Source organism: Homo sapiens, chromosome 8 (genome assembly GCF_000001405.40).
Source record: "Homo sapiens chromosome 8, GRCh38.p14 Primary Assembly".
NCBI lineage: Eukaryota > Metazoa > Chordata > Mammalia > Primates > Hominidae > Homo > Homo sapiens.
Window position 1 is genome coordinate 130,550,280 of NC_000008.11, and position 14,685 is coordinate 130,564,964.

Consider the following 14,685-nt stretch of genomic DNA (forward strand, 5'->3'; position numbering starts at 1 on the left):
TAGGAGTCATAATGGGCTTTAAGTGATGCAGTCATATTATATGTGGTAGAGTGGGCTGGATGCAGGGAAGTCAAATAGAAGGTGGGAGCAGTAGTTCATGCAAGAATTGATGTTTTCCATCAACTGGTGAATGGATAAAATGTGATGCAGTCATACAGGGGAATATTATACAGTAATAAAAAGGAATGACACACTGCTACAAGCTACAAGTGTGTCACAAAAGATTACATATTGTTTTAATATGATTCAATTTATATGAAGTTTCCAGGACGGGCAAATCATCCATAGAGACAAAGTAGATTAGTGGTTTCCTATGGCTGGGGAGGATGAAGGCTGGGATGGAAAATGATGGCTACAGGGTATGGGGTTTATTATTGCAGACATGAAAAAAGTGTTCTTAAACTGAATTTGGTGATGATTGCACACCATCAAACACTAGAATGTATTCCTTCTAACTGTAAGTTTGTACCTATTAACCAACCTCTTTTTATCCTCACCCTCCCTACCCTTCCCAGCTTCTGGTAAGCATCATTCTACTCTACTGCCATGAAATTAACTTTTTAAACTCCCATATATAAATGAGAACATGAGATATTTGTCCTTCTGTGCCGGGCTCATTTTGCTTAATATAATGACCTCCAGTTCCACCCATATTGCTGCAAATAACAGGATTTTGTTCTTTTTTTATGGCTGAATAGTATTCCATTGTGTATACATATTACATTATCATTATCCATTTATCCATTAATGGACACTTGGGTTGATTTCATAGCTTTACTATTGTGAATAGTGCTGCAATAAACATGAGAGTTCAGATATCTCTTTGATATACTAATTTTCTTTTGTCTGGATAAAGACCCAGAAGAAGAATTGCTGGATCATGTGAAAAATCTATTTTTAGTTTTTTTGAGAAAATCCTTTTTCATAGTGGCTTACCAACTTACTGTTAGTAAGTTTCCATAGTGGCTGTGTTAACTTACATTCCCCCCAAGCAGTGTATGAGTGTTTCCCTTTCCCTGCATCCTCATCAGCATTTGCTACGTTTTTTGATAATAGCCATTCTAACTTGGGTGAGATGATACGTAGTTTTGATTTGTATTTTCCTGATGATTAGTAAAGCTGAGCATTTTTTCATCTATCTTTTGGCCATTTGTATGTCTTGTTTTGATAAATGTCTATGTATACTCTTTGCCCACTTTTTAATGGGATTATTTGTTACTTTGCTGTTGTTTGAGTTCTTTGTATACTCCGGATATTAATTCCCTGCTGGATGAATAGTTTGCAAATGTTTTCTCCCATTCTACAGGTTGTCACTTCACTCTGTTGATTATTTTCTTGGCTATGCAGAAGCTTTTAGTTTAAAATAAAAGCTATTTGTCTGTTTTTATTTTTATTGCCTGTGCTTTTGAAGTCTTAGCCATAAAATCTTTGCCTAGACCAATGTCTTGCATTTCACTTTTGTTTTCTGCTCATAGTTTTTTATGGTTTTGGATCTTATGTTTAAGTCCTTAATATGTTTCAAGTTGACTTTTGTATATGGTGGGATAGGGATCTAGTTCCATTCTTCTGCATGTGGATATGCAGTTTTTCCAGCACCATTTTTTGAAGAGGGTGTCCTGTTCCCAATGTACATTCTTGACACTTCTGTTGAAAATCAAGTGGTTGTAAACATGTGAATTTATTTCTGGGTTATCTTTTCTGTTTTATTGGTTTATGTGTTTGTTTTCAAATCAATACCGTGTTGTTTTGGTTATGATAGCTTTGTAGTATATTTTGAAGTCAGGTAGTGTGATGTTTACAGCTTTGTTTTTTTTCGCTCAGTTTTGCTTAGGCATTTGTAGGGTCTTTTGTGGATCAACACAAATTAAAAAAATTGTTCTATTTCTGTGAAGAATGTCACTGGTATTTTGAAAGGAATTACATTGAATCTGTAGATTGCTTTGGGTGGTACGGTCATTTTGACTATATTAATTCTTTTGATCCATGAGCATGGGATGTCTTTCCATTTGTTTCTATCCTTTTAATTTCTCTTACCCATGTTTTGTAGTTTTTGTTGTAGAGGTTGTTTACCTTCTTGGTTAAATTTATTCCTAGATATTTTATTTTTTGTAGCTATTATAAATGAGATTGTTTTCTTGCCTTGTTTTTCAGCTAGTTTATTATTGGTGTATAGAAATGTTACTGATCAATTTTAAGAGCTTTTTGGTGGAGTCTTTAGGCTTTTCCATATATAAGATCATGTCATCCGCAAAGAGGGACAATTTTATTTCCTCCTTTCCAATTTGGATGCTGTTTATTTCTTTATTTTGTCTGACTGTTCTGGCTAGGACTTCTGGTACTATGTCGAATATGAATGGTGAAAGTTGGCATCCTTGTCTTGTGCTGGTTCTTAGAGGAAGGGCTTTCAGCTTTTCCCCATTCAGTATGATGTTAGCTGTGGATTTGTCACATATGACCTTTATCATGTTGAGGTATATTTTTTCTATGCCTAACTTGTTGAGTTTTTTTTTTTATCATGAAGAGATGTTGAATTTTATCAAATGCTTTTTCTCTCTATTGAAATGATCATATGGTTTTTGTCCTTCATTCTGTTGTTGTGATGTATCACATTTATGGATTTGCATAAATTTAACTATCCTTGTATCCCTGGCATAAATCCCACTTATTATGATGTATTTTCTATTTTTGTTTTTTTGAGATGGGGCCTCACTGTCACCCAGGCTGGAGGGTAGTGGCATGATCTCGGCTGAATGTTGCCTCAACTTCCCAGGCTCAACCTATCCTCCTGCCCCAGCATCCCAAGTAGCTAGGACTATAGGCATATATCACCACAGCTTGCTATTTTTAAATTTTTTGTAGAGATGGGGTCTCCCTGTGTTGCCCAGGCTAGTCTCAAACTCCTGGGCTCAAGCTATCTTCCTGTCTTGGCCTCCCAAAGTTGTATTATCTATTTGAAGTACTGTTGGATTTGGTTTGTTAGTATTTTGTTGAGGATTTTTGTTTCTGTGCTCATCAGGGATATTGGTCTGTAGTTTTCTTTTTTGTTGTGTCCTTGTCTGATTTTGTTATCAGGGTAATGTTGACCTCACAGAATGATTTAGGAAGGATTCCCTCCTCTTTCATTTTTTGAAATAGTTTGAGAAGAATGAATGTTAGTTCTTCAAAAGTTTGGTAGAAACCTATAGTAAAGCCATTTGGTGCTGGGGTTTTCTTTGTTGGGAGGCTTTTTATCATTGATTCAATCTTGTTACTCATTATTGGTCTGTTCAGGTTTTTTATTTCTGCCTGCTTCAATCTTGGTAGCTTGTATGTATCCAGGCAGTTTTCCATGTCTTCTGTTTTCCAATTTTCTCTTATGTAGTTATTGATAATGGTCTCTAATGATCCTTTGTATTTCTGCGCTATCCATTGTAAAGTCACTTTTTTATTTTTATTATTTGGGTCTTCTTCCTTTTTTCTTGGTTAGTCTGCTAGCAGTTTATTGGTTTTATTTATCTCTTCAAAAACCAAATTTTCATTTTTTTGATTCTTTGTATTTTTTAATCTCGATTTCATTTAGTTCTGCTCTGATTGTTATTATTTCTTTCATTCTACTAATCTTGCGTTTGGTTTGTTCTCACCTTTCTACTTTCTTGAGGTGCATCATTAGGTTGTTTAGTTGAAATCTTTCTACTTTTTTTGATGTAGGCATTCACTGCTGTGAACTTCACTCTTAACACTGCTTTTGCAGTATTCCATAGGTTTTGGTATGTTGTGTTTTCATTTTCATTTATTTCAAAAAACTTTTTATTTCCTTCTTAATTTCTTCATTGACCCAATCATTGTTCAGCAACATGTTGTTTAATGTTCATGTATTTAAACAATTTATAAGGTTCTTCTTGTTATTGATTTATAGTTTTATTCCAACTTGGTATGAGAAGATACTTGATGTGATTTTGATTTTTAAAAATTTGTTAAGGCTTGTTTTGTGGCCCAACAAATGGTCTATCTGGAGAATGTTTTTCTTTTTCCTTTCCTTTTCTTTTTTTTTTTCTTTTCTTTCTTTTTTACTTTTGAGACAGAGTCTCACTCTGTTGCTCAGGCTGGAGTGCAGTGGTGCAATCTTGGCTCACCGCAATCCCCGCCTCCCAGGTTCAAGTGATTCTCACGCGTCAGCCTCCTGAGTAGTAGCTGGGATTACAGGCGTGCACCACCACACCTTGCTAATTTTTGTATTTTTTGTAGATGTGGGGTTTCACCATGTTGGCCAGGCTGCTCTCGAACTCCTGGCCTCACACCATCCACCCAACTTGGTCTCCCAAAGTGCTGGGACTACAGGGGTGAGCCACCATGCCTGGCCTTCTGGAGAATGTTTCATGTGCTGATGAGAAGAATGTACACTCTGCAGTTATTGGAGTGAGCGTTCTGTAAATGTCTGTTAGGTCTATTTGGTCTACAGTGAAGATTAAGTGTGATGTTTCTTTGTTGATTTTCTGTCTAAATGATCTGTCTAAAGTTGAAAGTAGGGTGTTAAAATCCCCAGCTATTATTGGGGTCTATCTCTGTGTCTGTCTCTAATAATATTTCTTTTATTTATCTGGGTGCTCCAGTGTTGGATGCATATATGCTTACAATTGTTATATCCTCTTGCTGCATTGATTCCTTTATCATTATGTAATGACCTTTTTTGCTTCTTTTTGTTTTTTGACTTAATGTATATTTTGTCTGATATAGGTATAGCTAATCCTGCATGCTTTTGGTTTCTGTTTTCTTGCCTTTTCATGTTTCTTGTGTTCTTATGTTGATAGCTATGCATCTGGTATAAGAGCCTGTCCTCAGGTCCTGGAATAGCATGCAGGTGGGCCAGACGCCAGGTTTCCTGAAGGCATGTGCAAGTGTGCAGTGGCCCTGACACTGGAGAGGTTGGGTTACTATCAGTGACAGTGCTCCTGGGTAGGTGGCTGTCAGGCTCTGGGAATCACACGCTCTGGGAATCACACACTCTGGGAATCACACACTTTGGCTCCCTTTGTCCCAGGGGACAGCCCCCCTGGTGAGCTGCACTGCCTATTCCCTGGGCTGTAGGACATTACTTGGACTAGAGTGTGGGGGATTTGGCCACACTGGGGGGTTCAGCTGGCGTTCAACACTGCGGCCCTTTTTGGTTGATGTGGGGAGATATCAGCAGGTCATTTTGACTATATTAATTCTTTTGATCCATGAGCATGGGATGTCATTGGCTACAGGGATGTGGAGACACAGGGGTTGTTAGGCTCCAGGGGAGGATGTAGTCTGTCGGGAGTTGGGCTCTCAAAATGGCACCATGCTGCAACTGCTTGGGTCTCGGAGGGTGTGTGGGACCCAATGCAAACTCCCTCTATGTAATAATGCTGTTAAATGGACTCCAGGCATCTCCCTATACTAATCTCAGAGCCAGTGAGGGCTGAGAGGCTCTCCCATGTCTAGGATTGCAGTGGGAATGTGAACTGCTAGGGATTTCTATCTACTTTTTCTCTGTTATGGGGAGTTTCTCCTGGCTCTGAGCTGATCCTGTCTGGGCCAGCTGCCTTGTTTTCTTTTCCTTCCATGCCTCAGACGTACCGTCATTTCCCTGCTGAATTCCAGTGTTCTCTCTTAGAAGTTCTATTTGACATGTAGTTATCTATATGCTGTTTGGTCATTTGTGGAGGAGATGAGTGCTGGCCATCTCTCATCAGACATCTTTTGTGCATAATATTTTTGAATTTTCACAACAACATTTTGAGATCAGTTATTATTAACACCATTAACAGATGGAGATTCACTGGCTTTGAGAGGTGAAATGACATGACCACAGCCACAGAGCTAGTGAGTTGCAGAGTTGGAATGTCATCCCAGGTGGCTGCAGGGTTCCCTGGTTTGAATGTTTTTGTTTCCTCCAAAATTCATGTTGAGACATAATCTCCAATGCAACAATGTTGGGAGGTGGGGCCTAATGGGAGGTGTTTAGGTCACGAGAGCTCTGCCGTCATGAATAGATTACTGCCACTATAAAAAGGGCTTGCAAGAGTGGGTTCCCTCTCTTCTGCCCCTCCTCCCATGAAAGGACATGGTGTTCCTCCCATCTGGTGGGTGCAATATTTAAGGTAACATCTTGGAAGCAGAGACTGGCCCTTACCAAGTACCAGAACCTGCCAGCACCTTGATCTTGAACTTCCCAATCTCCAGAACTCTGAGAAATAAATTTCTGTTTTTTATGCATGACCCATTCTCAGATATTCTGTTATAACAGCACAAAACAGATTAAGGCAAGGTCTCTTGCTCTTCTCAACTTACTATGTGGCCTCTGCTAATGGTATGTGCATAAAACTTACTCTGATAATTAATTTTGTTGTTTCCTTGAAGTGAAGGAGGAAACACTCATTTCTTCTGGATGGCTTTCTGTATCCATTGACCTCTTTGCTACCATATTCAATGAATAGCTTTCAACTCTTATCTTTTGTTACTGTTGACCAGTCACTCTTGAAGGCTTTTTTTGCCTTTGGCTCCATTCATCTTGTTTTTCCTCCCATCACTATGATCAATACTCCTGCTCAGAACTTTCCTTAACTCTTAGTTTGTGTTTTTTTTTTTTTTTTTTTCCAGGATTCTGCCTCATGGCTGTTTCTCTTCACAGTGTACACCCTTGTTCTTGGTGAGCTTACCTATGCCCATGCTTTCAAGGATGATTTTTCTGTATGTGAATAATGTCTCTAGATTTATAACTCTAGTCCAGTTTTTCCTTCTGAGTACCAGACTTATGTTTCTGGCCTATGCAACATCTTCCCACTTAGATGCCTTACAGGCACCTCAACCCAGCATGTTTAAAACTAATCTCCTGCACCATTACCATCCTGACCCTGGCCTGCTCTTACTCTTGTTGCCCTAAGTGAACAGTGTTAGCAATCGCCTACACAGCTTTCCCAGCCAGAGCCTCCCCATCATCTTTTGCTCTTTCCTTCTCTCTCCTTCACATTTCAGTTCCTAAGTATGTCCAGCTTTTTTCTTCACATCTCTTGATCCAATTCAGTTCTCTCAATCCCCATGACATTACCCTAGTTCAGGCTGACATAATCTCTTTGCTGATTTACTGCATTAGCCTCCTGGCTGGTTTCTCTGCCTCTAGTCTCAATCCCCTGTTGCATTCAAAGAGGTCTGAGATGAAAATCTGATCACGTTGTGCTTTCCTGGCAAAATGTCTTTGATGATGCCGCATTGCTCATGAGATAGAGTACCAAATCTTTAATAAGACTCTGAATGATCTAGCCTCTGTTTTCTTTTTCTTCTCATTTCTCTCTGCTCTCCTGGTTAAACTCTATCCTCAAGGAATTCCTTTCTGTTTCTCAAAGGCACCATACTCTCTCTTGCCTCTGGGCCTTCACATGAGTTTTCCTCTTTGCTAAGAATATTTTCCTCAGAGATTTTTCTGGCTTCTTTTTCAACCAGTCTTAGGTCTTGCCTTAGGTACTCCTCCTTCTGGAAAGCACCCTGCCTCCACCTCTATTCTGCAGGGCTGTGTGAGGTGCATCTCTGTGATCTCATTTATCTTATTAATTATTCTCCTGTCCTCTAATTTATTATTTGTCTGTTTCCTCCTCTAGATTGTAAGCTTTTGCAAAGATGTGGAACTTATTTGTTTTACTCACTGTGCTATCTCCCACTATTTAATATAACAGAGGCTCACTAAATATTGGAATGGATAAATGAAAATTGTGTCTAGCACAGTGTCATATGATCACAGATGAGTTAACCAGGAAATTAACATTACTAGAAGATGGCATTTCTTCATTGTGGTTTGGCCTGATTTTATCGGTGGATCCTGGTGACAATGTTATATACTAATATTAAAATGATAGGCTGAGTGTGATGGCTCATGCTTGTAATCCCAGCACTTTGGGAGGACAAGGTGGGAGGATTGCTTGAGCCCAGGAGTTCGAGACCAGCCTGGGCAACATAGTGAGATTCCGTCTCTCCAAAACAAAACAAGACAAACCCAAAATGAGACATACTATTGCTGTCTTTTAAATTTATGCCCCGTGTAAGATGTTGCTACCAGAATAAGCATGATCCTGGAATGAGACAGAACCAGTTTTCAGTCCCGATTCTCTCCTTCCTGGTTGCATTGGTTAACCTCTTTGAGCCTCAAATCCTTCAGTAGAAAAATGGGAATAATATAACCTGCCTTGTAGGTTCAATGTAGTAAGTGAGTGAAATAATACATGAAAGGTACTTAGTACAGGGGCTGGCAACAATAATACTCAAAAATGTTAGTCATTATTAGTATTACAGTAAGGATAATAAACACTACTTTGCCTGGCAACTAGATGCTTGACAGATAGTGGCTTGTATCATTACTATTATTATAAAGGAATGCTGCAGTTTTACTGTAATGACTTCGAGCTGAATTGGCAGGAAGCTGCTCTTTGGAGGTTCAGAGAAGCGGGAACCAGTGCTGAGAAGATTCTTCCTCTGGTTTCCTAGAGGCAGAGCAAGAGTGGTCAGTTTGGATTGCACCAGGCCAAGGGAGAGCTTTGAAAGGGAGTCATTTAAAGTGCAGCACCTTCTCCTGGCAACTTACTTCTTGGGACAAAGCACAGCACAGCACTTGCAGAGGCCTTTGTTGAGTAGCTTGGGATTTTTCCTTCTGCCAACCTGAAGGGGAAAAAAACACAGCGCAGGGCAGCCTTTGGAATTGCATGGGATGATCTGGGTAAGAGTGCTTAAAAGAGAACTTTGTACTTGGGAAAGACCGTATTCGTGAATTTCTGTTGAAACCTCACGGACACATCTTTGTAACAAGCACTACAAATGTTAGAGGAGGCTCAACCACCGGTCTGAAGGCATTTCGCCTCTAACCTGAGGCTTCTAAGGACTGCTTTACCTATAATGTGCTCCTTGATGATTCCTCCACGCTCATTTTCCAAAGGCTGGCCTTTAGGGGTATGAACACTGCTATTTCCCTTCCCAATTAAGATCCAGAAGGTGAGCAGGATTGCAGAATCCCAGAGATTTGGGTATTTGGGGCATGCAGGCCTATTACCTCTCTGGCTTCTGACTGAGGGTACTAACACCTTCTATGTGCAGGCCTGGGACTCCTGGCTACTTGGAGGGTGTGATGAGAACTTTACAAGCTTAAAACATCAGAAGAGGGTGGGTCTGGGGGCCTGGGCAGAGCTGGACTGGAACTTTGGCTCTGCTACTTACATCAGTGCACCCTTGGTTAAGTTACAGCACTGTTCTGAGCCTGTGCTTCCTTATCTGTAAGGGGGGGATCATACCTTCACTTAATATGATAATTGATATGTCTGGATTTAGTTCTATCACCTTATGATTTGGATTCTTTTTATTCCGTATGTTTTTATTTTTTCTGTTTTCCATTTCCTGTCTTCTTTGGAATTATTTGAATATTTTTCAGTATTTCATTTTGACTTATCTATGGAATTTTTGACTATTTCTGCTGTGGACTGAATTGTGTGCCCCAAATTCATATGCTGAAGTCCTAACCCTGAATGTGGTGGTATTTGGAGATGGGGCCTTTGGGAGGTATTTAGCTTTAGATGATGGCATGAGGGTATGCCTACATGATGGAATTAGTGACCTTATGATATGGTTTGGCTCTGTGTCCTCACCCAAATCTCATGTCAAAGTGTAATTCCCAGTGTTGAAGGAGAGGCCTGGTGGGATGTGGTTGAATCAGGGGATCAACTTCCCCCTTGCTGTTCTTGTGATAGAATTCTCACAAGATGGGGTTGTTTGAAAGGGTGTAGCACTTCTCCTCTTTGTGCTCTCCCTCTCTGTCTCCTGCCACCATGGTTAAGACATGCCTGCTTCCCCTTCCCCTTCTGCCATGATTGTAAGTTTCCTGAGGCCTCCCAGCCATGCTTCTTGTATAGCCTGTGGAACTGTGAGTCAGTTAAACCTCTTTTCTTCATAAATTACCCAGTCTCAGGTAGTTCTTTACAGCAGTGTGAGAACAGACTAATACACTTTATAAGAAGGAACACTAGAGAGCTCGCTTCCTTTCTCCCCACTCTCATGTACCAAGGAAAGGCCACGTGAGGACAAAGGGAGAAGGTGGCCTTCTGCAGCCCAAAGAGAGGGCCCTCACCAGACATCGTCCCTGCTGTCCCCTTGATCTTGGACTTCTAGTATCTAGAATTGTGAGAAATAAATCTCTGTTGTCCAAGCCACCCAGTCTATTGGTATTTTATTATGCCATTTTGTTATGGCAGGCTGAGCTGACTAAACAATACCTCTTTGTGTATTTTATTCTTAGTGATTACTCTAGGGATTACAATAGTCTACTTAGAATCTATATTTTACCATTTCTAGTGTGCATCTTATAGGTCCATGTACCCTTCTGCCTTTTATGTTGTAATTGTCATATGTATTTCATGTATATACATTGAAAATCTCACCTGTCAATCATTTTCGATTTAACTATAATACATATGTTAAAGAACTTAGGAGAAAAGTAGTCATGTAAGTAATACGTCATTTTTCACTAGCTGTTTTCAGGTTTTTTTTTTGTTTCTTTGTTTTGGCCGTTTGATTATGATGTGTCTGGTAAATAATGTATTTGAAAGCATTTTTTTTCACACAAGAGGAATATAAGAAAGACTTTACACATTGCGATTGCACGTTGGACTAAGCCACATAAAATATCCAAAATTCAATTGGATATAATATAAATATCTTGTAGGAATTTTATAGTCCTAAGAATATAAAGAATGCAGAACTCCATCAGATCTCAAAGCTTTAAAAAACACCTTTTTTAGCATATAATTAATTTAAAAAACCTAGGGTTAGAAGGAGAAAAACATTTACACATTGAGGAGCTTATCACCTAAGGTAGGAGCTTCAGAATTTTGTTAACAGAAGAAAAAATGGGTAATTAATTACTCCTAAAAAGTGGGCTGACTGCTTTCCTCTTGAAGTTATGGTATAAATGATACTAATATTCACAAATAGGTTCACAAATAAGAATCTAGGCAGCCTGCTCCATCCCACATCTCTGTTATAGAAGCCAACTGCAACAAATAAGCAGGCCTCAAGTAGCCTGAGGTTCTTCCAATTGTCATGATGTATGTGAGGGCTGCAGTTCAAAAGACTGTGGAGCCATAGACCAGACGACACTATCAGGAGAGAGCCTGTGATGGCTCCAGTCCCTGAGGGCATATTATTTTCTTTGTCCAAAATACATTCCTTCTCATCTGAAGTGTGAATGCCAGGACAGCACTGGACTCCATGCCAACCCCGTCACTCTAGCTGGGAGATCGAGTCCACAGGAAGGAATTATGAATAAAGACCTGCTCTCTGCTACAAGTTGGCTCTGTGCTACAAAGTCAGAGACCAGTGGACGACAAGCCACAACTATACTAAAACCATCACCAAAACAATGTGAGTCTGACTCCTCAGCCAATTATGATGTTTAAGCTTAATCACCTAAAAGCCTAAGTTGTCACCACTCTATGGCAGCTTTAAAGTATACAGTAAGAGGGGGCATCTATGGATCCTGTGGCATCGTGTGGCTAACAGTAAATTTTATAACAAAGTCTGGAAAAGCTGCTGCAGGCTACAGGAGCAATGACTTCTTTGGACTGCTGTTATGACCTGGAAAACCACTGGGCTCATATCAACTGTGGAATTCACAACAATCTTTACTTATGTGTGGATGTAAACATCCAAAGTTGGAGAGCACTGAAGCCCCCAGAATCAAGAGAACTTTGTGGCAAATATTCTAAAAATGAAAATCGCAGCAAGCAACAGTCTTAATATTTGACTCCTTCAATGGCACACTCCTCTTTGCTCTGTGAAGGAATCCTGTGGCTTTCTTTCTGTTTACATGTCTACTTAACATCTTCTTCTAGATGTGTATTTTGTTTTGTTACTTTTTCTTTTTTTCGAGATGGAGTCTCGCTCTGTCACCCAGGCTGGAGTGCAGTGGCATGATCTTGGCTCACTGTAACCTCTGTGTCCCGGGTTCAAGCAATTCTCTTGCCTCTGCCTCCTGAGTAGTTGAGATTACAGGCATCCACCACTACACCTGGCTAATTTTTGTATTTTTAGTAGAGACAGGGTTTCACCATGTTGGCCAGGCTGGTCTTGAACTCCTGACCTCAGGTAATCCACCCACCTCGGCCTTCCAAAGTGCTGGGATTACAGGCATGAGGCACTGTGCCCAGCCTGCCTTTTCACCTTTCCCCTCTCATTTGCAAAATCTGCAGATAATTCACCCTTTACATGTATGTTATCAGCCTCTTGAAAATGTCAATGTGTCAATACAATGACCACTTTCACCTAAAAGATCCGAAAACAATTTCTGGAAACATGGTAACGCTGGTCCCTGCTCATGTATAAATGGGAACTCATAAAATGGATGTGTTAAGAATTTAGGTGAACTAGTCCCTGGCTTCATCTGGTTCTTAATCCCTCTCTTAAATAAATGACAAAGCTATATTTTAGAAAATTCTGAATTTGCATTTTTAAACTGTGTGTAACCACGTTTCTCTCTGAGATAAAGGTCTAGCCAGGTGGCCCAGGGCTGGTAGGCTAGCTTGACATTTGGGGGACTGCGTTGCTCTGTCTTGTGTCTCTGCCATCCTCTGCGCACAGATGACTTTATGTGATTCAAGATGGCTGCTCCAACTCTCACTCTGCATTCCAGGCAGGGGAAAGGAAGAGAAAAAAAGGTAATGCCTGTTATTATTTTATTTTATTTTATTTTATTTTATTTTAACAAGTGAGAGCATAGCAAACTGTCTACCTTAATGTAATCTTACTATTGGCGGTCTGCGTTTACATGGCTTTATCATTCCAGAAAACTCTGGCATAGGAAGGAGGAGTTACAAATAACTTTATAGTTGGTTTCAAGAACTTCCCCAAAAGTCATTCATCAGAAAGACAGACTATTCCTATAGTCCTAGGTAGAATAAATACCCCTTCTTAGGACAATGGAGTGCTCAAGAAGGCTTATCAAAGGACTTGAAGTTTGCTTGGTTTCCATGAGTGTTTCACTCTGTCATGGTGTCTACCAAGCCTACCTATTATTTCACAAACTCTGTCCAATCCCAATCAATTAATTCCTTCTCCCCTAACTGAAAGACCTACCTGAAACCAAACTTTTGATTCTCATACATTTGTTAACAACCTTTTCTACTTCATGATTCTATAAGGATTTTGTTAAGGTAATATTCTCTCTTACTGTGGCAAGCAATAAACTCAACTTTTCCTTATTAATAAGTTATTTTCATGGCTATTTCAGGGAGTCAACAATTTTTATAACCTGAAGTTTGCACACACAACTTTCTATTGGCCATGACTTGGTCCTGTGGTTACATCTAAATGCCAGGGAGATTGGAAAATGTAGTTTTTAGATGGGTAGTTTTATGTTCAGCTAAAACTTCTATTCCTATGGAAAAATTGGAAAACAAATAACTGGGGAACAGCTACAAACTCTCATGTCAATACAAAACTAATACTAAGGCTGGGTGCAGTGGCTCACACCTCTAACCCTAGCATTTTGGGAGGCCAAGACTGGTGGACTGCTTGAGCTCAGGAGTTTGAGGCCAGCCTAGGCAACATGGCAAAATCCCATCTCTACAAAAAAAATTAAAAAATACAAAAGTTAGCTGGGTGTGGTGGTATGCTTCTGTGGTCCCAGCTACTTGGGGGGCTGAGGTGGGAGGATCACTTGATCCTGGGAGGCAGAGTTTGTAGTGAGTGGGATGGTGCCACTGCACTCCAGCCTGGGTGATAGAGCCAGAGCATGTCTCAAAAAAAAAAAAAAAAAAAGACTAATATTAATAGACAACATTTACTGATGAGTCCCTCTGTGTCATGCACTTGAAAAGATCTTTTCCACAGATGATCTCATTCAATCCTCAGAACATCATGAAGGAAGCACTATGGTTATTTCAGTTTTATTGAAGAAATTGAAGCACAAAGAGGCTAAAAAAAACTGGCTAAGTTCACAAAGCTCCTCAATGGTGGAAGTAGGTTTAATCCAGGAGGTTGGCTATAGAGCCCAGAGAGTAAGATGAGGTAGAGGGACATGTGATTTTGACAGAACTGTCTTGGAAGGAATGCTAGGTGTAATAGTTTTCTATTGTTATGTATCAAATTACCACAAACTAGGCAGCTTGAAACAGTATGCATTTAGTATATCAGTTTTTGTTGGTCAGGAATCTGAGCATGTCTCACTTATATGTAGGAACTCAGGGGTTCTCTGCTCCAGGTTTTGCAGGGTTGCACTGAAGGCGTCTGCTTGGCTGCATTCTCATCTGGAGGCCTGAATGGGGAAGAGTTCGCTTCCAAGCTCATCCAGGTTGTTGACAGAATTTGGGTGAGGGCCCCAATGTCTCGTTGGTTGTCGGCTAGGCAAACAATCTCCAGTTTTGGAGGCTGCCCACAGTTCCCTGCCATGTGGACCTCCCTCCCTCCGGAAAAGCTGTTCACACATGGCAGATTGATTTTTCAAGGCCAGTAAGGGTGCCCCTCTCTCCAGTTACAGAGTCCTGCATAACAAAATGTAACCACGAGAGTGATGTTGAAACATCTTTGCACTAATCGAGGTAGTGACATTTCATCATCATTGGTATAGTCTAATCAAGTCACAGGTGCTAAGGGGAGGAGATTAAACAAGGTCGTGACTCATTGGGGGTTAGCTTGGGGTGTGTTCGCGACACT